Source organism: Homo sapiens, chromosome 2 (assembly GCF_000001405.40).
Source record: "Homo sapiens chromosome 2, GRCh38.p14 Primary Assembly".
NCBI lineage: Eukaryota > Metazoa > Chordata > Mammalia > Primates > Hominidae > Homo > Homo sapiens.
In genome coordinates this window covers 237,526,221-237,551,400 of record NC_000002.12, presented here as the reverse complement: position 1 = coordinate 237,551,400, position 25,180 = coordinate 237,526,221, and the positions used below count along the sequence as shown (strand labels likewise).

The 25,180-nt window shown below is 53.4% G+C and overlaps 1 protein-coding gene across 19 annotated transcripts in view, besides 2 other annotated features; it reads right to left on the bottom strand.

The window, feature by feature from the left end:
- MLPH (melanophilin) overlaps window positions 1–25,180 on the bottom strand; it is a 68,913-nt gene that overhangs the window by 3,922 nt on the left and 39,811 nt on the right. For 5 of the 19 annotated variants that reach the window (XM_017004893.2, NM_024101.7, XM_006712737.2 and 2 more), the window contains 7 exons: window positions 23,885–24,024; window positions 16,754–16,837; window positions 10,868–11,053; window positions 10,444–10,599; window positions 8,742–8,834; window positions 4,718–4,795; window positions 2,123–2,180 (listed from right to left, as the gene is read on the bottom strand). In XM_017004893.2, coding sequence (XP_016860382.1) covers window positions 2,123–2,180; window positions 4,718–4,795; window positions 8,742–8,834; window positions 10,444–10,599; window positions 10,868–11,053; window positions 16,754–16,837; window positions 23,885–24,024 — 795 coding nt within the window. Of the gene's footprint in view, window positions 1–2,122; window positions 2,181–4,716; window positions 4,796–5,755; window positions 5,945–8,741; window positions 8,835–10,443; window positions 10,600–10,867; window positions 11,054–16,753; window positions 16,838–23,884; window positions 24,025–25,180 lie in introns of those variants that run through there. The other 14 variants (XM_047445806.1, NM_001042467.3, XM_006712740.2 and 11 more) reach the window with 8 other exon arrangements.
- Window positions 9,088–9,589: an enhancer, noted in NCBI's record as "H3K4me1 hESC enhancer chr2:238450455-238450956 (GRCh37/hg19 assembly coordinates)". NCBI's record gives its function as "activates a minimal SCP1, AML or CMV promoter by ChIP-STARR-seq in naive H9 embryonic stem cells {active_cell/tissue: H9 hESC(naive)}" and the evidence as "EXISTENCE:reporter gene assay evidence [ECO:0000049][PMID:30033119]".
- Window positions 21,246–21,655: an enhancer, noted in NCBI's record as "active region_17367". NCBI's record gives its function as "activates an Ori minimal core promoter by ATAC-STARR-seq in GM12878 lymphoblastoid cells {active_cell/tissue: GM12878}" and the evidence as "EXISTENCE:reporter gene assay evidence [ECO:0000049][PMID:35858748]".

Genomic DNA, 25,180 nt, shown 5'->3' with positions numbered 1-25,180 from the left:
GGTGGGAGCATTTACGCCACAGAACCTGGCACATGCTACAGGCCAGGACTTTGTCCTTTTCCTTTTCTGGGAGTTGGCTCAGCAGCGTGCTCCTGTTGTGCTGTTCCCCTCTCTGCAGGGTCATGTGGCCTGGCCTGCCGGCCCTCCGTCCCCGCTCCAGGACTAACCTCTGTGGAGGGAATCACCTAACTCGAGGGATCACGACTCCTGAGCAGTGAAGTCGCATGAGGCCCCACAGACCCCGGGATTGGAGGCCCAAGGACCTGCCAGTGTGCGGGGCTGGCCTCTGCAGACAGTGAAAAGCTCCCGTGGCCACGCTTGGCAGATGCTGGTGAGGATGGCGGGGAGAAATGTGAAGGGTCAGGCCTCAGCTTTGCCTTTCAGACCCCAAAATTCCTGTGAGCTTCAGGGGGCCGGGGGTGAGCTATTCTGGCTTTGGACTGGAGGTGAGTGAGGTCTCTGGATAGGACAGAGTCTACCCTTCACAAAACCAGTCATACAGAGGACACAAGGAATCGCCCCTTGTCCTCCTGCTACAAACATGAATCTCTTGGCCGGGCACGGTGGCTCACGCCTGTAATCCCAGCACTTTGGGAGGCCGAGGTGGATGGATCATCTGACGTCAGGAGTTCGAGACCAGCCTGGCCAACGTGGTGAAAACCCGTCTCTACTAAAGATACAAAATTAGCCTAGCATGGTGGCAGGCACCTGTAATCCCAGCTACTCAGGAGGCAGAGGCAGGAGAATCACTTGAACCCAGGAAGCGGGGGGTGCAGTGAGCTGAGATCACGCCATTGCACTCCAGCCTGGGCGACAGAGTGAGACCCTGTCTCAACAAAATAAAACAAAACAAGAATCTCCACCTGGATTTCAGCCCACGAGATGTGCAGGAAACTCCCCGCAGAGCCAGCACATGGCTCTCCAGGAGCCCCTGCTGGCAGCTCCTTAGTGGGTCATCTCTGGCAAAGTTGCCCTCCTGGCTGGTGACCCTGAATCTGGGATTAGCCCCAAAGGGCCCTGGGCACCAGCTGTATCCCAGGATTGACCAGAATGTGTGCTGGGAGCTCAGGGCATGCAAAGAGCGAGCTGGCATGGAGGTGGGGTGGCTGACTGATCAAGGAGTGAGCTGGCTGGAAAGAGGGATTGATGTGCCAGGTGTTGCAGGGAGGCGGTGGAGAGCCCCGGGGGAGAGGCTTCATACTTGGCCCTGGAGGACTTCACAGGACAGAGATGGGCAGGGAGGGGGCACACCCAGGCGTGGAGGCAAGTGCCTGCTTGGTGCGCTCTGAAACCAGCGTCCGCTGTGCGTTGTCCTACGCACGGGAAGGAAGTGCATCCTTGGGCGGGTGTAGTAGGGGGCAGGCTGGCTCCAGTGTGTGACAAATGGCCAAAGTCTGCAGGGCTATGCTAAGAAATCCCACTTCATTCTGCAGGCAGTTGGGAGCCAAGGATTGCTTGTGAGCAGAGGAGGGACACACACTGTCTGCAAGGACTGCAGCTGTGGCAGAGTTTGAACAATGGTGTGTGTGAGGGCAAAGCTCAGAAGACAGGGACAACAGGAGATCAGTCCAACAATGTCTGGGGGCCTGAAACAGCTCGACAGCAGAGGGACGGGACTCTGAATGGGGGGAGGAGCTACCAGCCTCTGGTGAGCAGTGGTTGGGTCACAAGGTGAGTGAATGAGATGAGCACACAGATACCCCAAGAGCCCGGCCACGTGCTGGGGAGGCCTCACATCCCGTTCGTCCAGGACAAAGCTAATGTCCTTGTCACCACCAAGCCTTCAAGGAAGGCTAAATGATGAGCCGTACTTTCTAGAAGGCCAGGAACTGTGTACCACGTTAGGACAATTTATGTAGAAAACCATGGAAACCACTACCACCACCACCGCTGCCACCAGGGCCCCCTTTGCACGCTTAAAGCAGCAAGTTCCAGCTGTCCAGAACACCAACTTGCTGGGTCCTGAGGGTGGCCCGAGCGGCACTGGGAATGTTTTTTGGGAGTCAGGACATGAGATATGTCCCACAGATAATGAAGAAACACACAGAGCTGCGACTGGTCATTTTCCTCCCCGAAGCTCATTTCCCAGGCCCATGGGGGTGGGGGAGCAGAGGGCTCTTACCTTGACTTTTCAGGGAATTACTGAACTTTCTTCTCAGAAGATAGGGCACAGCCATTGCCTAGAAGAAACAGAGTGTCTCCAGGCTTCATCAAGTTGTGACGTTTAGGAATTGTCAACTAATTTTGGATTTCTTATTGTTCTTCCAGCTTCTAATTAACCATGGCCACTATTTTCTGCTCTCTAGCAATATTTGAACTTTTAGCAATATGAGAATGGACATTTTCAATAAATTAAGCATGAAATGCCTGAAATAAGAGATGCTCAGCTTTGGGGAAGCTGCCACATTTGGGTGGTATGGCAGAAAGAGTACAAGTTTCTGCCCTGCAGGTCTGGTTTAAATCCCAGCACTCCCCCTTACCACTGTGTGACATGGACAATTAATTCACTTCTTTTTTTGTTTGAGATGGAGTCTCGCTCTGTCACCCAGGCTGGAGTGCAGTGGTGCGATCGCGGCTCACTGCAAGCTCCGCCTCCCGGGTTTATGCCATTCTCTCGCCTCAGTCTCCTGAGTAGCTGGGCCTACAGGCGCCCGCCACCACGCCCGGCTAATTTAATTTTGTTTTTCTGTATTTTTAGTAGAGACAGGGTTTCACCGTGTTAGCCAGAATGGTCTCGATCTCCTGATCTTGTGATCCGCCCACCTCGGCCTCCCAAAGTGCTGGGATTACAGGTGTGAGCCACTGCGCCCGGCTAATTCACTTCTTACCCTCTCTGAACCTCGGTCTCCTCCTCTGTAAAATGGGCCTGTAGCTCTCTTTACAGGGATACTGGAAGATCACTTGTGGCTAACACGATTCCTGGGTCCCTGTGACTGTTGGTCCTCACACTTCTCCTCCTGTCTCTTTTCCAGTTGATTGCCTTGCTACAGTGTGATAAGAAATCCATTCTCTGTTTGGCTTTTCAGGGAAGTGAAGAGACAGCCAAATGGCCAAATTCCCCTGGAAATTTCTCCTGGTGTCTGGCACCCTGGGATTTTGCCTGGCTGGGTTTGTGGGCGGCTGCCAGAGGCACTGCAGAAGCTGTCAGGCTGGGCTTCCAGGGACAAAGGTGGAAGCGCCCCCACCAGAGAAGAGTGTGGGTGTCAGGCATGGCCTGGGCTGAGACCCCGCTGTCACTTCCTGTCTGTGATCTTGATCAAGCTCACCCCCTGCCCTGAGCCGGCTGGTTTGTTCATCAGTACAACAGGGTTAATAAATAGCACTGCCTACCCGCTGGGTGCTGTAAACATCCTGTGGAAAGATGGACTTTTGAAAACATCGCGTGTCACTGTGAGGAGCTGCCGGGGTTGGAAGAGGAGTGGCTAGATGTTCCTTGAGGCTCCCTGCTGCGCTGGGCTGCAGGTAAGGCCTGAAGCTAAAGCCCATTCCTCCTGGGGCGCTGGCCATGGTACCTCTCATCCTACCCCTAACCACTCCACCTGAACACGGGGAGCAACTCCCTCCCAGGCTGGCTCTGCCCTCTGTGCACTGCTCCTACCCCTAACCACTCCACCTGAACACGGGGAGCAACTCCCTCCCAGGCTGGCTCTGCCCTCTGTGCACTGCTCCTACTCCTAACCACTCCACCTAAACACGGGGAGCTCCTCCCTCCCAGGCTGGCTCTGCCCTCTGTGCACTGCTCCTACTCCTAACCACTCCACCTGAACACGGGGAGCAACTCCCTCCCAGGCTGGCTCTGCCCTCTGTGCACTGCTCCTACTCCTAACCACTCCACCTGAACACGGGGAGCTCCTCCCTCCCAGGCTGGCTCTGCCCTCTGTGCACTGCTCCTACTCCTAACCACTCCACCTGAACACGGGGAGCTCCTCCCTCCCAGGCTGGCTCTGCCCTCTGTGCACTGCTCCTACTCCTAACCACTCCACCTGAACACGGGGAGCTCCTCCCTCCCAGGCTGGCTCTGCCCTCTGTGCACTGCTCCTACTCCTAACCACTCCACCTAAACACGGGGAGCTCCTCCCTCCCAGGCTGGCTCTGCCCTCTGTGCACTGCATCTGTGGGTCCCGCTCACACCCCCCGAGTCCCTGTGCCATTTTCGAGCACACTGGCTCCTGAGTGTTTTCACCTCTGGCAGCCAGCGCCTATGTCTCCCAGATGGAAGAAGTCCCCAGGCCACGGGCCCGCTGTGCCTGTTCAGGGAAGGGCAGAAGTGCCTGGGAATGTGTGTGGCCCAGGGCCTGGCCCTTACTCAGGACTGACGGGTGTGGGTGGCCTTGCTCCTACGCGGAATTAACTGTGGGGTGTGATCTGCGTGGTCTCCAGAGCCCCCAGGAGGACTGAGCCACAGTCAGCCTGTGTGGGTTTGCTTCATGTCAGATGCTTGCCTCCTTCCTTTCCCGTCTCACTTTCCCGCTCCCCTACTGGGCTTTCTTGGATTTTCAACAAATGCATCTACACAAATCCAGCTCAGGTGTGTGCCACGGAGGAAGCCAACTCACAAGAGTTGCCACGGTGTTGTGGCAGCTGTGTGGGCATTGCTGTGTGGGTAGCTGTGAGGACATTGCATCTCTGCCACCCCGTGGACTTGCCACACTGCTGGAAAGGGGTGCAGTCTTCCACCTTTGTCGGGTGTCTGGGGCTTGAATGGAGTAACACATACCTTGGCCTCACTTGAAGGGTCTGCATTTGGGTCCTCTGGTCTCTTGCCAAGTTTCCCAGCCACTCGAGGGAGAAATATCTGGAGGGCAAAGAAGAGACTTATGTTATTGTTGAACCTCCAGCCACAGGGAGGAGCATGGGCATGGGTCAGCTGGATGTAAGGATGGATGCTCTCTATACATGCTGGGTTGGGGATGCTGGGACTGCACAGCCACCCCCAGTATGCCGCTCCAGGACTCTGGGACTAGGGCGCCAAAGTGTGCAAATGAAAATACAGGATACCCAGGGAACTTTGAATTTCAGATTGTGAAAAGAAAACAAATCTTGAGACTCCACAATCACCAAGCTAAAGGAAAAAGTCAAGCTGGGAACTGCTTAGGGCAAAGCTGCCTCCCATTCTATTCACAGTCATCCCCCTGAGGCTCACCTGCATAGCTGATTGCTTCCTTTCCCCTATCGCTTCTGTAAAAATGCAGACTCACTGAGCCAGACTAAATTGTGTGTTCAGTGGAAGGCTGATCAAGAACTCAAAAGAATGCAACCTTTTGTCTCTTATCTACTACAACCAGGAAGCCCCCACTTAAGGGTTGTCCCACCTTACTGGACTGAACCAAGGTACATCTTACACCTACTGATTGATGTCTCATGTCCCCCTAAGATGTATAAAAGCAAATTGTACCCCTAACCACCTCGGGCACAAGTTTTAGGACTTTCTGAGGCTGTGTCATGGGTGTGTCCTTAACTTTGGCAAAATAAACTTTCCAAATTGACTGAGACCTGTCTCAGATATTTTGTGTTCACAAGATCGACAGCTAATTTTTTTAGTGTAAGTCCTAAATGTTGCATGGGGTATACTTATACTAGATTATTAGTTGTTGATCTGAAATTTAGAGCTAACTGGGCATCCTGTATTTTCCGTCATGACCCTATCTGGGACTCTCCTAAGGTCATCTTTCATTCTTTTGCCAAATGTCCTAATCAGGATGGTTTTGTCTGAAGATTCCTGAATGGGATCAGGAGAGGAGGATGTTGGCCTGACGTGAGCAGCTCCTCTGATGTGAGCCTCCCGCGCCCTCCGTTCTAGTCACATCCATCTTCACGTGGCGGCGGACTAAGGATTTCCACATGAGGCAACATGATTCAGGCGGCTCCTTTTGGATTTTACACTGTCAGGGTGTGTGTGTTTCAGATCCTCAGAGCAGAGGCTCAGAGTCCCCTCATAAAGAGCCTTTTTAGGGTAGAAACAACAAATAATAAACAAAAATGAACCCCAACAAAGGCACAGCTGGCTAACTGGCTATGAGGAAACTCAGGCCGGATGTTCACGGGAAGGGAGGTGGGGGGCCCAGGATCCTGCTGTCAGGCCCACGGTGGCGTGTGTGCTGTGGGGAGGCCTCAGGGGGCACCAACTCAACTGGGTTGCTGTGTTCCCCTCACTCACCACTGTGCCCCACTCACCACTGTCCCCACTCACCACTGTCCCCACTCACCACTGTGCCCTCCACTCACCACTGTCCCCCCACTCACCACTGTCCCCACTCATAACTATTCCCCCACTCAACACTGGTCCCCCCTCACAATTAGTGCCCCCCCCCAATAATTGTCCCCCCTACCAATAGTGCCCCCTCCACCCACTGTCCCCACTCACCACTGTGCCCCCACTCACCACGGTCCCCCACTCACTACTGTCCCCATTCACCACTGTCCCCCCACTCACCACTGTCCCCACTCACCACTGTCCCCCCACTCACTACTGTGCCCACTCACCACTGTCCCCCGACTCATTACTGTCCCCACTCACCACTGTCCCCACTCACCACTGTCCCCCCAACTCACCACTGTCCCCCCACACACTGTCCCCCCACTCACCACTGTCCCCCCACTCACCACTGTCCCCACTCACCACTGTCCCCTCCACTCACCACCGTGCCCACTCACCACTGTCCCCCCACTCACCACCGTGCCCACTCACCACTGTCCCCCCACTCACCACTGTCCCCACTCACCACTGTCCTCCCACTCACCACTGTCCCCCCACTCACTACAGTGCCCAATCACCACTGACCACCACCACACACTGACAACCACACACCACTATGCCCCCAATAAACAATGTCCCCCCCAACACTAAAGTGTCCCCCAACTCAACAACTGTCCCCCCCCACTCACCACTGTCCCCCCACTCACCACTGTCCCCCCCACTCACCACTGTCCCCACTCACTACTGTCCCCCCACTCACTACCGTGCCCATTCACCACTGTCCCCCGACTCACCACTGTCCCCACTCACCACTGTGCCCCCACTCACCACGGTCCCCCACTCACTACTGTCCCCATTCACCACTGTCCCCCCACTCACCACTGTCCCCACTCACCACTGTCCCCCCACTCACTACTGTGCCCACTCACCACTGTCCCCCGACTCATTACTGTCCCCACTCACCACTGTCCCCACTCACCACTGTCCCCCCAACTCACCACTGTCCCCCCACACACTGTCCCCCCACTCACCACTGTCCCCCCACTCACCACTGTCCCCACTCACCACTGTCCCCTCCACTCACCACCGTGCCCACTCACCACTGTCCCCCCACTCACCACCGTGCCCACTCACCACTGTCCCCCCACTCACCACTGTCCCCACTCACCACTGTCCTCCCACTCACCACTGTCCCCCCACTCACTACCGTGCCCACTCACCACTGTCCCCCACTCACCACTGTCCCCCACTCACCACTGTCCCCCCACTCACCACTGTCCCCACTCACCACTGTCCTCCCACTCACCACTGTCCCCACTCACCACTGTCCTCCCACTCACCACTGTCCCCCCACTCACTACCGTGCCCACTCACCACTGTCCCCCCACTCACCACTGTCCCCACTCACCACTGTCCTCCCACTCACCACTGTCCCCCCACTCACTACCGTGCCCACTCACCACTGTCCCCCACTCACCACTGTCCCCCACTCACCACTGTCCCCCCACTCACCACTGTCGCCCCAGTCACTACCGTGCCCCCACTCACCACTGTCCCCACTCACCACTGTCCCCCACTCACTACTGTCCCCCACTCACCACTGTCCTCCCACTCACCACTGTCCCCCCACTCACTACCGTGCCCACTCACCACTGTCCCCCACTCACCACTGTCCCCCACTCACCACTGTCCCCCCACTCACCACTGTCGCCCCAGTCACTACCGTGCCCCCACTCACCACTGTCCCCCAACTCACCACTGTCCCCACTCACCACTGTCCCCCACTCACTACTGTCCCCCACTCACCACTGTTCCCCCACTCACCACTGTCCCCCCACTCACTACCGTGCCCACTCACCACTGTCCCCCAACTCACCACTGTGCCCCCACTCACCACTGTCCCCCACTCACCACTGTCCCCCATTCACCACTGTCCCCCATTCACCACTGTCCCCCTACTCACTACTGTGCCCACTCACCACTGTCCCCCAACTCACCACTGTGCCCCCACTCACCACTGTCCCCCACTCACCACTGTCCCCCATTCACCACTGTCCCCCTACTCACTACTGTGCCCACTCACCACTGTACCCCCACTCACCACTGTCCCCACTCACCACTGTCTCCCCACTCACTACCGTGCCCACTCACCACTGTCCCCCCACTCACTACTGTCCCCCAACTCACCACTGTCTCCACTCACCACTGTGCCCCCACTCACCACTGTCCCCCCACTCACTACCGTGCCCACTCACCACTGTCCCCCCACTCACCACTGTCCCCACTCACCACTGTCCCCCCACTCACTACTGTGCCCACTCACCACTGTCCCCCACTCACCACTGTCCGCCACTCACCACTGTCCCCCACTCACCACTGTCCCCACTCACCACTGTCCCTCCACTCACCACTGTCCCCCCACTCACCACTGTCCCCACTCACCACTGTCCCTCCACTCACCACTGTCCCCCACTCACCACTGTCCGCCACTCACCACTGCCCCCCCACTCAGCACTGTCTCCACTCACCACTGCCCCCCACTCACCGGGAGGTTTGACTTCCTCCGGGGCTTTCCCGAGGGCTTCACCGTGAGCCCTGCGGCCCTCAGGGCTGCAATCCTGGATTCAATGTCTGAAACCTGCGAGAGGACAGCAGACAGAAGGCCCGTCAGACAGACGCTCGAGATCCCGCCTCAAAGTCATGGACAGAAAGAGCAGCTGCCCCCAGCTCAGTCCTGGAGCCAATTTTACTTGTGTTTTCCCTTAAGATTGGCATCACAGCCCCATGCCCATGTTGGTGGTCCCCTTGGCATTTATCTTCTGTGGTTGTTGAGAAGGGGGGGGTGTTCCTTATGGGTCACCCCAGGCAGGAGGAACGCAGGACGGGTGCATTTTCTTGAGTCTCAGGGAGTCCGGCTCCCATGAGGGGCTGGAGGAGGGGCCGTGACATGCAAGGACAGTAGTGGCTACTCTTCACCTAGCAGTCGGCCACTCCCACTGGCATCATCCTTGCCTGGCCCCCATTCCACCCCTCCCGTCTTAGGCCCCTCCTCCCACAGCAGCTGGGGGCAGCTTCTGGAAATTAGAAGCAGGCCCCATCACCCCCTACTCAGATCCTTGCAGTGGCCCCCAGGGGCCTTTGCCGTCCACCCTCCTCACACTCTCCCCTCATCACTCTGACCTGGTGTGGGGGTTTCACGGCTAATCCCTGCAGGCACCAAGCCCACTGCCACCCCAGGGCCTTGGCACGGGCTGCTCCCTCCACCCGGCCTCCTGCCCCCTGGATTTGCCAGGCTGGCTTACTTTCCTAGTATCCCTCCTGACTGCCTTATCTCAATCGCCCTGCCCCGAGCACTCTAGGGGCTCACCTTCACTGATTGTCTTAATCACACTTTTCATGAACCCAAATGATCTTGTTTGTTTGCTGTTTATCTCCTTCCACTAAAAACAAGCTCCAGGAAGGCTGGGGCTTCGTCTAAGGTATTTGCACCAGATCTTCCGTGGCCTACACAATGTGGGCTACATTCTAGGCATTTAAAGCTTATTTGCAAAGCAAGAAGGAATACATGAAGGGAAAGTCCAGAGCCTGACTCGCTCCCCTTGAACAGCTCTAGGGGACGTGCCCTTTGTCCTTAGGGAGTGACAGGCACCTGCTGATGAGAAGGGAAGTGGAGGAGGGCCGTGGGGGCTGGCTGTCCTCACAGTCCGAGAGGCACCCCCTCTCCTCTCTGTAGGTCTCCAGGGAGGACAGAGCAGTGCCTAAGTCACCTCAGCTGTCCCTGGGAGGCCTGAATGCTTTGGCTCTGCCCTTTGACCTTTGTGCACTATTGATGGGTTCCTCACCCAGATTCAAGCTCTGCAGCCACAACTCAGACTCACAGATGGCCCTCCGGACAGAGTCCAGTGCTGAGGTCTGGGGCTGTCCTAAATTCCAGGCCTGCTTCTAGGCCCCCATCCTGGGTCAGGGATTGTGTGTTCAGCACCTTTTTCTTGGTGGAAACCCTGCCTGTCCCTCACCAAGTTGAACAGGAAAAAGGGAAGGGGTGGAGGGCTCAGGGGGTGGCGAATTAGGTGAGTCCCCCAGAAACCCCCAGGTTCATGCCTGGCCTTCAGAGCCGTGCATGCTGGGCCAATGGGGAGGGCTCAGTGTGAGCTGGCGGATGTTAGAGCTGGCAGATGTTCAAGGCCTGGGTGTGGTCACCATCTGTGTTTGTGGAACTCAGTGCTCCCCTGTGCCTTCTGGGCTACCTCGCTCTCTGCCTGCTGGACTTCTGAGGCCGTCACTGCCACTCTGTCCTCCAGCTCTGACAGCTCCTCATCTGTGGTCCTGTTGTACTGGACGGGGTCCCCAGGGTCCTGGGGGCTTTTTTCCTGTCTGTTGGTTTGATGGGCAGCCGTGCCCACCTAGGAAAGAGAAGGACGGAGGCTGACCAGCAGCAGGAGGGAGTGTGGGGTTTCACCCAGATGGGGACTCACCACGATATTGCTCTCCTCTCTGAACCCTGGGAGCTGGTTGGTCAGGAGCCGGCCACCCGCTGCAGACCCCATCAAGGGCCCTTGGTGTGCTCCTGTGGGTGCTGCCTCCCTGGGGAGGGTGGCTGCCAGCTGGGACTGTCCATCCCTGCCCCTACCTCTGCAGGGTCCTGCTGAGACCTCTGGGGGATAGTCTTACCTCCGGGTCCGCCTGGGGGAGAGGCCCAACTGATTTGTCCCTGTTGGGCTCTGCCTTTTCGTCCTTGGCTTCCTCCTCCTCGGACGAGGTCTCCTGGTCACTGACGTTGCTGGTCAGCTCCTCCAGCTTCCTCCTCAGGGCCTCCTCCTCTACATCGGCCTCCGTGCGCACTCCAGCACCTAGACCCTGACAGAACAGGCCAGTGGATTTGGATTCGGCTAGCCATCTGGAGCCATGGAGCTCCAGGGCTGGCTCTGGGAGATGGGCCAGGGCCCAGCACACCTGGGGTTCCTGCTGAGCTCAGCTGCCTCCCTTCTCCATGCCAGCTTGTCCAACATGCCCCTCTGGGGCCCAGTCCCAGACTCCAGGAGCAGGTTCTGCAGGGCTGGGGGTTCCCAGGGAAAGCTGACCACCACCCCTGGCTATCTAAGACCCACATTTTTTTTCTCCCTTCTCATCCCTTTTGTTTAAGGGTGCCATTTGTTTATTCCAGGCTGACGTCCTTACTCTAGGGATGAGGAGAGAGGGGTGTGGAGTCATGGATCTCTGCCCACTCTCTCTCAGGGAAATACACAGACAGCCTTGGTCGGGTCCAGCTTCAGGGGCTGGGCTCTTCCCACGCTCTGGCCAACGATTCATTTAGCAGCTGCTGTGGGACACTCCTCTGGGGCACACTGCTCCTGATCACATAACAGCAGCCACTGGACTGCGAGTTCACCTGTGGCTCCCTATCAGGCCATGTGACCTTCGGCAGGTCACTCAACCCCTCTGCATCTCAGTTCCCTCAGCTTTAAAATGGTGGTGATAGCAGTATCCAACCTGCAAGTTATAAGAACTCAGTTCAATAATCTCTGTAAAGTCCTTAAAGGGTCTAGTTCCACTGGCCACCTTGTCTGTGGGCAGGAGGCAGGAGGGTTAAGGGCAGGCTTTAACTGTTGTGGACGCTGGCCTTTCATGAAGGGTTTTAGGTGCCAGCTCCGAGAAAGTGGCAGAGTTATGTGATAAAAACACAAAATTATCCCAATTGCCTCTTACAGCCAACATGGTGCTAAGGTAGGCGATGAGATTGAAAGTGTCACTCACACTGTAAAACTCACATTTTTAAAGGCAGCTTCACCCTTTAAAGCTCGCTTAGGCCAAGAACCTTGCAGACATCATGACCCCTCTTTTTCTCTCATCCCAGATATCCATTCCTGTTGGCTCTGCCTACGCGAGGCCCCCGGGATCGGTCTGCCTTGCACCACCTTCGCTGCTCTCCGGTTCGACCACCGCCTTCTCCCAGCCGGCCCTGCTGCCTCACCCCCACCTCCACAACCTGTTCTCAGGAGGATGGCCAGAGCAACCCCTGTGCCCTCAGCCAGCTGTCTTCTGCTCAAGCCTCCCCGCCCCCCCATAGTAAAAGGCAGAGCCTGGACCATGGCCTGGGAGGCTCCGTTCTGTCTGACTCTGCCACTACGTCCGGCTCCAGCCTCTGCGCGCCCACCCGCCCCTGCCTCGCCCATCTTGGCCGGGCTGTCTCCTGCAGCGGCTCCCTCCTTGGGACCTTAGGAGGGGCTGCAACACTTGACCTTAGACAGCCACACGGCAGCCCCGGCACCTCTGCCAGCTCTTTGGGCAAATCCCACGCTCAGTGAGGCGCCCTGACTGTCCTGTTTGAAATGTCACCCTCACCCCAGGGACCTTCTGCCTTGATTTATTTTTCTGTACCTTCCTCCACCTCCTGACCTGTGTTCCACTTGTTGGGTTGTGAAGGAAACCAAAATACACCACCCCAGAATAGACTTCTGGGACTTATTTCCAGCTGTTTATTCAGAGAAGCTGCAGACGGGATCACTCTGAAAACCTGTCTTTTTGTGTGTGTGTTGGGGGTGGATTTCATCCCTGGAGGAAAGCTATAGGGGTGAGCTGAACACCAGGCAGACAGGCTTTCTCTGAGACCCCCTCAGCGGCCTTAAAAGGACACTGATGCCTGACAGTGACACGTCGGACAGCGACGCCGCCAGCATGGACTGCTGCCGATTCTTCGAGGGCAGCTCCTGGTTACCCGAGAGATTTTTATCTGCATAACCAGAAGGCTTTCCTCCCCTCACCCTCCCGTGACCTTGTCACCCCTGTAACCCCTCAGGAAGCCCCAAGACCCATCCGTCCTGTCGCCTTGGGTGTAAACCTCAGTCGTCTGTCCCTGCTTCGAGTCCCACATTTGGGGGACCCCCGTGTTCATGTGCACAGTAACACATCATTGGCCTTTTCCCTGTGACCCTGTCTATGCTGAGTTCCCTTCAGCAGACGCAGGCCCCGCCCTCCTGGGGGAAAGCTTGGTGTTCCAGCAGTTGCGTGTTTCCTGCCTCTCCCAGATGGAATGCAAACCCCACAAGGCCCGCGTTTTTGTCGACTTTGTTCACGGCCACCTCCCCATCGTCAGGAGCCGGTGCTGGGAGCAGAGTGGCTCCCTGTGTCTCCCGACTCTTCCCAGGTGACGAAGTCACACAAGTTAGCAAGATGGCCAGGAAGACGACGCCCATTCACTTGTCTGCCCGTGCACCTGCTCGTTCACTCATCCATCCCACATTCCGAGGGCTCTCCCCTGGCCCCATGAAGTCGACTTTGAAGTGTGAGGCGAGGGCCGCGCAGAGATGCCACCTGGGGAACTTTAGTGCCGTCCTTGGTCCCTTCCTCTGGGAGCCATCACCTCCACTGACACTGGAGGGCTGGGAGGGAGGGAGAGCAGGTGCCTCCACCAGGAAGTTGCTCACAGCCCACGGCGCCCCTGGGCTGCATCGATCCCTCCCTCACCCATCAAGCCGAGGATATTGCACATGATCATTTAATTTTCTATTTGGACGAAGCCTATTGAGACAGATCGACAGGGCTGGCTGCCTGGGGTCTCACAGACGAACACCAAGGGGATGATTAGATTGAGTCGATGAAGAAGCCGCGTGTTTTAGCCAGTATGCTTTTCCGTGAGGCTCCACTTTCCTGACAAAGCCCCCAAATCACAGAGGCCCTCGGTGGAAAGATCGGGAATGACGTTCAGCCTGTAAACGCCATTGGGCCTGATATGAGCTGAACTTCGTCCCAGAGTGCATGGGGCTGAGAAACTGCAGGATCCCCGTGAGAAATGGAAGCCCAGCGCCCATCAGGCAGGACGCAGCAGAGCGACGGGGTATGGGGGTGGAAGCCGGTAGATGCCTGGGAGAGGCAGGGATTGTCTTCGCTTTGTAAGCCAGTAAATAAATTCACACACACACACACAAACCTACACACACAACACATGCACACATATACACATGTATGTGTGGAAAACACATGACAACATACGTGTGTGACAGGGACCTGAACCAGCATGGCGGGACACAGCCAGGGTGACTAACTCGTCCTTGTTTGCCAGGGATTTCCAGGTGCAAAAGCCCTGAGAGCCCCTGACAGGATGCTGGTGGCCCCAGATCCAGCCCCTCAAGGTGGAGGGCCCCGCTGCCTCTCAGGTCCAGCTCCTTGATGGCCCAGAGGGCCATTCCGCGAGCAGTGTCCCCTCGCGGGGAGTGTATGGGCAGTGCAGGTCCCATGTGGAGTCTGTTACTTCTGATTTACTAGTCCCTGGGCTGAGATTTGTATGAGCAAAAGGCCAAAGCCAGGAGGTACCAACAAGAGCCAGAGCGAGGGTGGCTGCCCTTTCCCTCCACAAGGTTAATCTGTTTCTGGGTGGGCTGGAGCCAGGGCCGGGCAGGCTACAGGACAGCGGGTCCCGAGTGTTGCTGAGGGGTCAGCAGGGTGGGGAAGGAGTTGGGCAGGAAGGGGGTGAAGGAGGTGAGTGACAGATCTCCAGTGTCCACCTGAGAGGCAGAGCCGAGGCCCGAGTGAGACCTGGGTCAGTGTTCCGCAGGGGCCTGGGGGCTGGATGGCTGGATATGGGACATGGGGTCCGATGGGGCGCTGGAGCTTGTGTTGGGGCCACTCTGACTCAGTGCAGGCAGGGGCCCTTCCAGAGGCATCCCGTGGGAAGCAATGCTCTCCCTAACTTCCCTGTGCTTTCAGCTGGTGCTCTCCGGTCAGTGATGGGCCGAGTCTCACTCATGAGAGCCTGGGCCTCAGTTTCCTCATCTATAAGTGAGGGAAAGAAATGTCTACCTTGCAGGGGTACTGCAGGATTAAATGAAATTATGGCACATGGTCAGCCTGGCTCTAGTAACCCATAAAGCACAGAGCACAGTAACTCATCCCCTTATAGATAAAGGCAGCTGTGGTCCCTGCTGGACACATGGCATGTGGGCTGGGCCTCAGTCTCTCTCCGCTCCGGCCGGGGTCAGAGCCTGTGCAGGGGTAGCCCTTGGGGTCTAACTTGGGGCCTGTGTGCTCTGCTTCCCACTTGGTCTCATGCCCCCAACCCGAGCTTCACCCAGATCTGTTTCTCCGGAGCCCTGGCCCCAAGAAAAATGAGCAGCTGCAAACCTAGGGTGCTACAAGGAGCGTCCTGCGGAGTGAAATCATTCAAACTTAAAGCTGTTGGAACTTTAAATGATTGGGAGCCTCTAGAGGAATGTGGCTATGTGGCCTGAGTCAAGTGGCATGCAACTTCTGTTTCTGCTTTTCTCTGTAGACGATTGGGAAAGACCGAGTGGTGCCAGAGATGAGACCCCTCTCAAGATCATTACCCCTACTCATGGAGTGTTAAAGCAATCTTCCTCGGAATTAGTAAGCTGTAACCTAGTGAATTGCTACAATGTAATTATAGGCCTTGTATGGAAAATGCTGTAACACTGAGAAACTTCTCTGTTTCTGCCTATATAAGTGAAACTTTAAATTCTCCACTTTGGAGCACTGACCCCATTCCTATGGAGTCTGTGTGGCCCAGAAGGCTGTCCTCAAACTTTGTGCTCAAAGAAACTCAATACTTAATCATATTTGCTGAATCTCCTTATCTCCGTGCCCAGGTGCTAGATGTGTGGCTGTGACTCAGCTGGAATGGAGGACTGGGTCCCTACTCCCTCTGCACCCCGGCTGTCTGTCTGCCTGTCTCTCAGACACAAAAGCACACACACACACATGCACACACACTCCTGCAGCAGGCCATGGTTTGTTTTATTTACTCCCCATCAGGTTGTCTCGGTGTGCTGTTGTGGTTTGACTGTGTCCCCTAAAGTTCATGTGTTGGGAACTCGATCCCCAGTGCAATAGTGTTGAGAGGTGGGACCTTCAAGAGGTGATTAGGTCGTGAGGGCTCTGCCTTCATGAATGGATTAATATCATTATTGAAGGAATGAATTTGTTATTCATTCCAGGGTGGTTGTTATAAAAGCAAGTTCAGTTCCATCTTGCTTTCTGTCTCTCCTGCCCTCTGTCACCATGTGCCATGTGGTGACACAGCAAGAAGGCCCTCACCAGATGCCACCCCTTGGTCCTAGACTTCCCAGTCTCCAGAACCATGAGCCAAATACATTTCTGCTCATTATAAGTTACCCAGTCTGTGGTATTTTGCTATAGCAGCATATAGCAGACTAAGCTGTGCTGATGATACATTCACAAACATGGTGCGGAAGGAGATTCCACCCTGCTTTGGTGCCTAGACTTCAGAGGCTGTAGGGCCAAGCAAGTTTCCTCCCATCTCCAGTTATGTCCCCTGGGAAGGCTGTTACACGTATGTGCCCTCCAAGCATTCTCTCATTCAAGCTCTGGGCATGAGAGGTGGTGGCAGGCCTGGATGGGACAGAAGACTTCACTCAGGCTATGTGGTGGGAACTGCCTGGCTCTCTGAGAACTACACACAGAACTTAACCTTACAAACAGCAAAATCTCAAGAAACTCTTCTCCCAAAAGCCCATGTCACACTTCAGCCTCCTTTAACTAAGGAGCTGTGGGGGCCCTTTCTCTTTGCCCAGCCCCCAGTGTTACCTTGGCCAAGGGAGGCACAACTGTGTTCTCCAGGTAGGTCAGCAGGCATTCCACAGCTGAAATATGCTTATTCAGCTCAAAGATCTGCAGCAGAAGGAGAGAAACAGTGGGCAGAGGACCCAGTGCACTCCAACCAGCAAGACACTGGCACCCACCACCTCTGAAGCACCAAATTCCCAAGAAGCGGAAGGAGAGCTAAGGCCACCACCCATGACATGGCCTGGGAAGGTTAATTGTGAAACCCATTTCTAACACCAAGAGTTCTGGAACACCAAGCAAAATCTTGGAGCGGAACCAAGAGAGGGGAGAGTGGGGAGGGTGAAAGTGGAGGAGAGGAGCCGAGTCCAGCAGGACAAGGAGCTGAATCTGGAAGGTTGTGATGGTGTCATTACTGTGGACAGCCACTGTCACTGCCGGTACCGAGCAGCACAGGAAGACATCAGTTAATTACGCCACAGTGATCAAACTCACAGTCATTAGCTAGCAAGAGCCTGGGGTCACTAGTGGGCTAGGAGGCAAGGCACTTCAGGTGACAACCTAAAGGGACCAGAAGTACAACTTCCTCATCCCTTGAGTCACCAGACTCTTGAGTCACCCAAAGTCTATTAGCTCCCAGACTGAGACATGATAAATCAATTTTCTAGTTTTCTTCCTCACCCAGCAGATGCATCTTTCCTGCCATTATCTCATTTACGGCTCACCTGGCTTTAAAAGAGGGAAATGGTGCTGTGGAGTGTTAAGATGCTTTTGTATTGTTTGGTCGGTAATTAGTTGAATCATCACAGCACCAAGGGCTTTGAGTGGGCAAATCTGCCCGAAGAACATGACTGGCTGAGAAATGTCAACACCAGGATTTCAGTTAGACCTCGGCCCACGCCTTGAGCGGCCACTAGTAACTGAGTCACCCTCTGGTCCCGTTGAGCATCTGCAGAAGCAGAGATCAATACCCTGGGGAGACAGCACTCAGCACACATCCTCTGTCTCCCGGAAGCAGTGGGCTTGGGGACTCAGGCAGATCACCTGAGGTCAGGAGTTCGAGACCAGCCTGGCCAACATGGCGAACGCCATCTCTACTAAAATACAAAAATTAGCCAGGGGTGGTGGCTCATGCCTGTAATCCCAGCTACTCGGGAGGCTGAGGCAGGAGAATCGCTTGAATCTGGGAGGTGGAGTTTGCAGTGAGCTGACATCATGCCATTGCACTCCAGCTTGGGTGTCAAGAGCAAGACTCTGACAAAAAAAAAAAAAAAAAAAAAAGAAAAGAAAATAGAGAAGAGACTTCCCACTGCCCCCTTGTCTTTCAGAGCTTCTTTCTCTGCTTTTTCCAAATACATATAAATCTTTAAAATGGCTAAAAAGCCTCTCTGCAGTCTCAAAACTCCACCTGGGAACTGTGTTTTTGAAATGGAAACATCCTTGAAGATAACTCTAGCTCCCACTCCCCAGGAGAGGGTGAAGAGTCTAACGTGGGTGGGCGCCTTGCTCCAGTTTGCAAAACTAGCTCCCATCTTAAAGATGTGTGAGAAGGTTGCTTTTCTTAGGGTTAAAGCCAACACAAGTGGTCTCCCGGTTATGATGCTAGAGTGAGGATGTACACTGTGATCAAAGGCACCATCAGCTCCTCTCATTGGTAAGGACTGGTGATGGTTTGTGCTGAGAACTGTGTGGAATGGGCCGGGCCTGCCGGGCTGCAGAAGGGCTGAGAGGCCTTCCTGTCTTTGCAATCTCTCAGCGGATTGCCTGGGGCACGTGCCATATTCTGGTTTGATGCTTGTTCAAGAATAAATCTGTCTTCTTCCTCTGCTACCCTTATGGAGAGATTTTCTGGGTAATGAAAAGATTTCGGGTTTTTCTAAAAATTATATTTCTCCAACAGTAACAACTGCTCTGGTGGGAGTAGCATCACTCAGACGTGGGCATCTGACCCTGTGTGGGCACCAGTCATCAGGATTATCACATTACTTAGATATGTACGGACAGAATACTAGGTAGGAACCCCTTGAGCTTTCAACTCGCGACAATACCAAAGTTTAGAGTTTACAAATGCAATACAGACACTAGCTAGGGATTAAAGCAAACCAACAAAATATGTCACTGGTGACACTTTTATGGGAAACCGTCAGTGTCTGTAGCCCGAGCACACACGAATGGCCCCAGGGCCGGCCCTTGGGAGTGAGGGGGCGGAGGGTGCGTGCCAGGGCCGTTTCCTCTCCCGTCTCCCATCTCAGCCCCTTAGAAACTTCCTTCCTACCACATGCTTGTGCCATCTTGGGCCTTGTCTGGGCTTGAACAATATCTACAGGAAGTCTTTACCCCTCGTCGGGAAAGCTGTGACTGTCAATACAAATGCAAAGGCAGGCAATGCACAGCTGCCTGACCCCTCAGATGAGCTGTGATAAAATACGATTCCTGAGAAAGCTCAGGCCCTGAGGGCATGGCTGGGAGTCTTGGGGTTGATGGGCAGATTGAGAGTGCTTCCTCCTGGGGTCCCACCACAGCCACTTCACAAAGGCCCCTCTAAGAGTCTGCCTGGGTTTTCTCTGAAGTACAGGATCGCTGCTGCATTTGGAGCTTCTTTCTGCTGCTTAATTTCCTCCATATAAAGATGCATGGGAAACAATCTAGGTGAAATATTAGTTGAGGTTGTCACATTGAATAATTCAAACAAAGCTGTTGGAACTTTAAATTCTGAGTCTTGAGAGGACATGTTTCACAGCTGAAACTTCTACTTTTTTTTTCCCTGTGAATAATTAAGACCAAACAGGATTGGAGATAAGGGCCCCCCAGGTCACTGTTCCTTTGCAAGGTTGTGATCCTGCTACAATTTCTACATAGGTGAAAACTTCACTAGTCCACTTTGGGCCCCATTTGTTTGAAGTCTGTGTTTCTGGGTGGCCACTGTCAAGCTTTTGTTCTGATAAACTTGATATACTAATACTTATTTATATTTTCTGAATCTCATTATTTAGGGTTGGCAAAGTAAATACAAGTTAATAGGAATAAATAAAGAGAAACAATTCCACAGGCAGGATATACAAACATGAACTAGAGAATAATTCCAAGCAGGTATAAAGGATAATTGGTTTCAGTGGGGCTGGAAACCACGCTATGTATTTTACTAAAGGCTACTAAAGTTGCTAAACTACAGGTTTACTGAAAATAGACAACTTGATTCTCCTCTTCATCCTGTTGTCTTCAGGCTAGGAGACTAGGAGATGCTCAGCCAGCCAAGGATGTCCCATGGGTCTCTACCTGGCCACCCTGAGAGGTCTCTATGCTGGCCTCACCCAAGAGGTCTCTATCCTGGCCACACTGGGGAGGTCTCTATCCTGGCCACCCTAGTCCTCCACTGTCCCCTGCATCCACAGGTCCCTGGATGGACTTGGCTGAGTTGGCTCTTCCCCTTTTCTCAGAATAACTGTAGAATGTGTCAAGAAAGCCACTTCCTGATGTAAGGAAGAACTGTCTGGACTGTCTAGAACCTGGGCTCTAGAACTGGATATCCTTTGGCCCAGTGATCCCAGTTTCCCAGGGTATAAGACTCAGAGAGGAATGCTTTCTGGGACCCCCCAGCTGCCGCATGACACAGGATACTTGCAGCCGATACTCCACCCTCCCTGCAGCTTCCCTGAGCCTGGGGGACCTCGCTGCCTGACTGTGAGTAATGAAGTGGCTCTGCTCGACTTGTGTGTGTTCCGTGTTGCAGAACTAGACCTGCGAATGCAGGTGGTGGAGGCTTGACTGCTGCAGCACTGGGTCTGCTCTGAGTCCCCGCCAGAGCTCAGCATACCTGCAGGTTTCAAGTCCTCTCGGGACACAGAAACTGCAGGGGCCAAGCCAGTCACTCCCTGATCTGAATGAAAGGACACTTCCTTGTGTCAGGGCCTTGCTTGCTGTTACACAAAAGGAGTTCCATGCCTCAGGAATTGTGGGCCCCAATGGGTGACGCGGCCATAAGCAGTCTTCACGCAGGCCTTGTCAGGGCCTTTCATGCCCGGCTATGCTCAGGGGCAAGAGTGCTTCTTTCAGAGACTAAGTGGGCCCTCAAGGAAGTTGGTGCAGGAGAAACTTCCACCCAGGGTTGAGGAAGCTTCCAGATGACACTACAGTAAAAAGTCAGCTGAGGACACTGAGTCCAGAGAGATGCTGAATTCAGAAACTGCATGCTTCTGCCCCGTGGACACTAGCCCAATTTTAGAACCCAAACCCCTATGATTCCCCATATTGCCATGCTAAGGAAGTCTCTTTTTGAAATTCAGGTGCTCATTTTTGGTAGATCATTTCTCTGGGTGCAGAAGCAAAGTGACAGGATGTCGGAGGAGCCCCTCACCTATCATGCACGCGAAGGTTTGGCCCTGTGAGAACAGCCACGGGACAGATTTCCTGCTGAATGAGGGCTCGGAAAAGCCCAGGGCCTACTGCATACTTCCTGTTGCCCACTCGTGAGCCAGTGCTGGTCTAGTGACTGCCACAGTGTAGGCCAAGGCCTTGGGAGAGGAATCTGCAGCCCTGTGGCTGAAGAGCTGGGTGATGCTCCATCTCAGGTCGTCCTGTGCACCGAAAGGCCAGGGCGCTGGAGAAGCCCTAGACCCTGCAGAGCAGCTTCTGCGTGCCCTGCCCACCTCGCCTGCCCCTTGAGAACCCCAGCTGTGCACCACCTGCGTCCTCGCTGCTTCCAGGCCTTTCCTGACAAGGCTCAGCTTTCACTTAGCCTCCCTCCTGACAGCCCAGAGCCCACAGGCCCGAAGGGAAGCTCCACAGGGCATTCCCTTCCCCAGCTCTCCCAGGAGGAGGGAGGAGGGGCTCTGTACCAGGCATCACCATGCCCAAGGAGCTGGCCCTACATTCATCCAGGCTCCAGAAGATGTGCCTGAGACCAGCCTTGGTGAAACTGCGGTTCCGGTCTCCATTCAGAGCAGCCCCACTTCCCCTTCTCTGGGTTTCATGCCTCAAGAGTCATCAGTTACAGAACAGTCCCCCATCCTGTGATTACGTTGCTGGAGTCAAGGCTCTATCAGAGACATTAATAGCCTGTGTCTTTCATTGCCTTAAAGAACCTAGTGGTCATGATGTTCTCAGAAGAAACAATATTGCCTTTCCCCCGGTAACATGAACTTGCTCAAATTGAAATCAGCTGACTCAACAGAATCATCATTTAAATGCAGCAAGCGGAACTCAGGGCACTTGAATCTTGTGATGAATTATTTCATAAGTTAATGTCTACAATGTGAGTGATTCTACTAATTTAACAGGTGTTAAGTATTATGAGCAGAGTTTCTTAATGCCTATATAAAGCCTGCTAAGGGGCTGGGCATGGAGGCTCACACCTGTAATCCCAACACTTTGGGAGGCCGAGGTGGGCAGATTACTGGAGGTCAAGAGTTCAAGACCAGACTGGTCAGCATGGTGAAACCCCATCTCTACTAAAAATACAAAAATTAGCCGGGCGTGGTGGTGGGCGCCTGTGATCCCAGCTACTCAGGAAGGGGAGGCAGGAGAATCGCTTGAACCCAGGAGGCGGAGCTTGCAGTGAGCCGAGATTGCTCCACTAAACTCCAGCCTGGGTAACAGAGCAACACTCTTTCTAAAAAAAATAATAATAATACAGCCTGCTAAGCGTTTCACATAGCTGACAGATTATTTCCTCCTCTTGTAAAATATATAATACTTGATCAAGTATAAAATATATATTTTCATAAAAAGGAATGAAGCACCCATATGTGCTACAGCATGGATGGACCTCAGAAGCATTATGCTCGGTGAAAGGAGCTCGTGACAAAAGGCCAGATGTCCTTCTGTGAGTCCATTTACATGAAATGTCCAGAATAGACAAATCCATTGAGACAGAAGGAAGACTGGTAGTTGTCAGAGGCCGGGGACAAGGGAGACTGGGAAGTAACTGCTTCATGGGTATGGGATTTTTTTGGGGGGTGAAGTTGTTTTGGAATTAGAGAGAGGTGGTGGTTACACAACACTGTAAATGTACTGTCACTGAATTGTACGTCACAGTGGCTCACGCTTGTAATGTCAGCACTTTGGGAGGCCAAGGTGGGGGGATCACCTGAGGCCTGGAGTTTGAGGCTAGCCTGGCCAACAAGGTGAAACCCCGTCTCTACTAAAAATACAAAAATTAGCCAGGCATGGTGGTGCACGCCTGTATTCCCAGCTACTCAGGAGGCTGAGGAGGGAGAATCACTTGAACCCGGGAGGTGGAGGTTGCAGTGAGCCGAGATTGCGCCATTACACTCCAGCCTGGGCCACAGAGGGAGACTCCATCTCAAAAAAAAATTAAAAAAAAATAAATTTTTTGAAAGACTAAAGATTATTTATTTTCTCCTAAATTCAATAAAATATTACTTTTTTCAATTATAAAATACATATAAAAATTTACCCTTTTATCCATTTTTAAGGTATTAAGTATATTCACATTGTTGTATAACTGTCACCACCGTCCATCTCCAGGGCTCCTTTCATCATGCAAAGCAGAGACTCTGTGCCCATTCAACACTAATTCCCATCCCCCTGACCCCAGCCCCTGGTGACTACTATTCTAGTTTCTGTCTCTATTAATTTGACTAAGAACCTCAGGTTAAGTGGAACCATATAGCATGTGTCCAGAGTGACTGGTTTATTTCACTTAGCACAGTGTTCTCCAGGTTCATCCATGGTCTAGCATGTGTCAGCGTTTCTTTCCTTTTTAGGGGTGAATAATATTCCATGTTGCGTACATCCTGCATTTTTTTATCCATTCATCTGTCAATGGACGCTTGGGTTACTTCCACCTTTTGATTATTACAAATAACGCTGCTATGGATACGGGGTTGCAAATATCTTTTTCAGTCCCTGTCTTCAATTTTTTGGGGTGTATACCAAGAAGTGGAATTGTTGGATCCTATGGAAACTCGATTTTTAATTTTTGGGGAATGGCCATACTAAGATGGTTAATTTTCTGTTATGTGAATTCACTTCCACAAAAAATATTGTGATGACGTATCTCCATTAAGTAGGCTTGTGCAATTTCATAGTTTGAAAGTATTAAAAGCTGTAATTTCTCTAAAGTGACTTGGTGTGGAGGTAAAAAGACTCCACCCAAAGAAACGACAAGACAGAAGTCTTTCCAGCCACCGTTACCTGACTCTCAGAAGACGCCCGGCCTCTCCGCTTGGAATGGTGGGAGGCCATCACGTGAGCCCGGATGCTTTCCTCATCAGAGGTGTCCACATCGGCCAAGTACTGCAGGGGCAGCTGCTCATTCCTGATGACATTCGACCCTTCAGAGCGAGAGTGGGTTTGAATTACTTGCAGTGAAAACCTGAAAGCTGATGGACGTGTTTAGTCCAATGAAGAAAAATGAGGCTCAAAGAAAATGAAGACATAAGGATGTTCATGTTACAGGGCTGAGGTTCCAAAGTCACAATAAGAATGGGGCAGATTCCACAGCCACACACAAAGATCTTCAGGAAAAAAGAGGACCTTGCCTGGCATTGTGGGTGGGGGTTATGAGTGGACATACTTTGCATGTTTGCAAAGTAAATGTAATATGATTCCCAATTTCAAATTGCAAATAACACCAGATTCCATGATAAGATCATAAACATGTTGTTTCAAGCCACATTTTAGGTTTGTGATAATTTGCTATGTAGTCAACAGGTTCAGCCATCTCATTTAATCCCTATGACAATGGGATGAGTTAGACGTTGTTAACCCCTTTTGTACAATGAGGAAACTGAGGTGCACAGAGGTTAAGCGATTTGTTCTAACAGCACAGCATACCTCAATGAATCTCAGACTTTGCAGATTGGATGTTGCATTATTGAGAGACAGTGCTGCCAGTGAGTCTCAAGCATACCCCTTTCTTACCACATTCACTGTAAGACACTCCCCGTTTGAGAGGTTGGTGTGTAAAAAGAACGTGTGTGAGAACCAGTGAAACAGACTGGCAGAGTGAGGCTCCAAACTCAGAACTGCCTGACTCTGAGGCAGCTCTCCCAGCACGATGGCCTCTCCCCCAGACTGCCTCCGGTCGACGTGCTCAGGGGACTTGAGATCACAGAGGAAATAAAACTGCTCTCCAGGTCTGCACCCTGTGGCTTGGCCAAAGTAGATTCATTTAATCATTGTTTTTGGGGGAAAGTAGAGCCCTGCCTTCCTCCCAAAGCCTCCAAGGTCCCCGTCAGCATGAGATTACGGCCCCTTCAATACAACGAAGAGGGAAGCTGGAGAGTAGACAGCTTTCCCGCACGCAGCCACTTGCTGTGGCTTGGGGAAAGCTGGCTGCTGCTGTGATCTTACTTGCTCCTGTTCCGATGGGACATCTGAACTCTCGGACCCATGGTACATACACCCTTGGGGTACCAGAAAAGACAGAGCTTTGGGGATTTCATTTCAAAGCAAAACTGACGACAAAGTTAAGCCAAGCAGATTTAG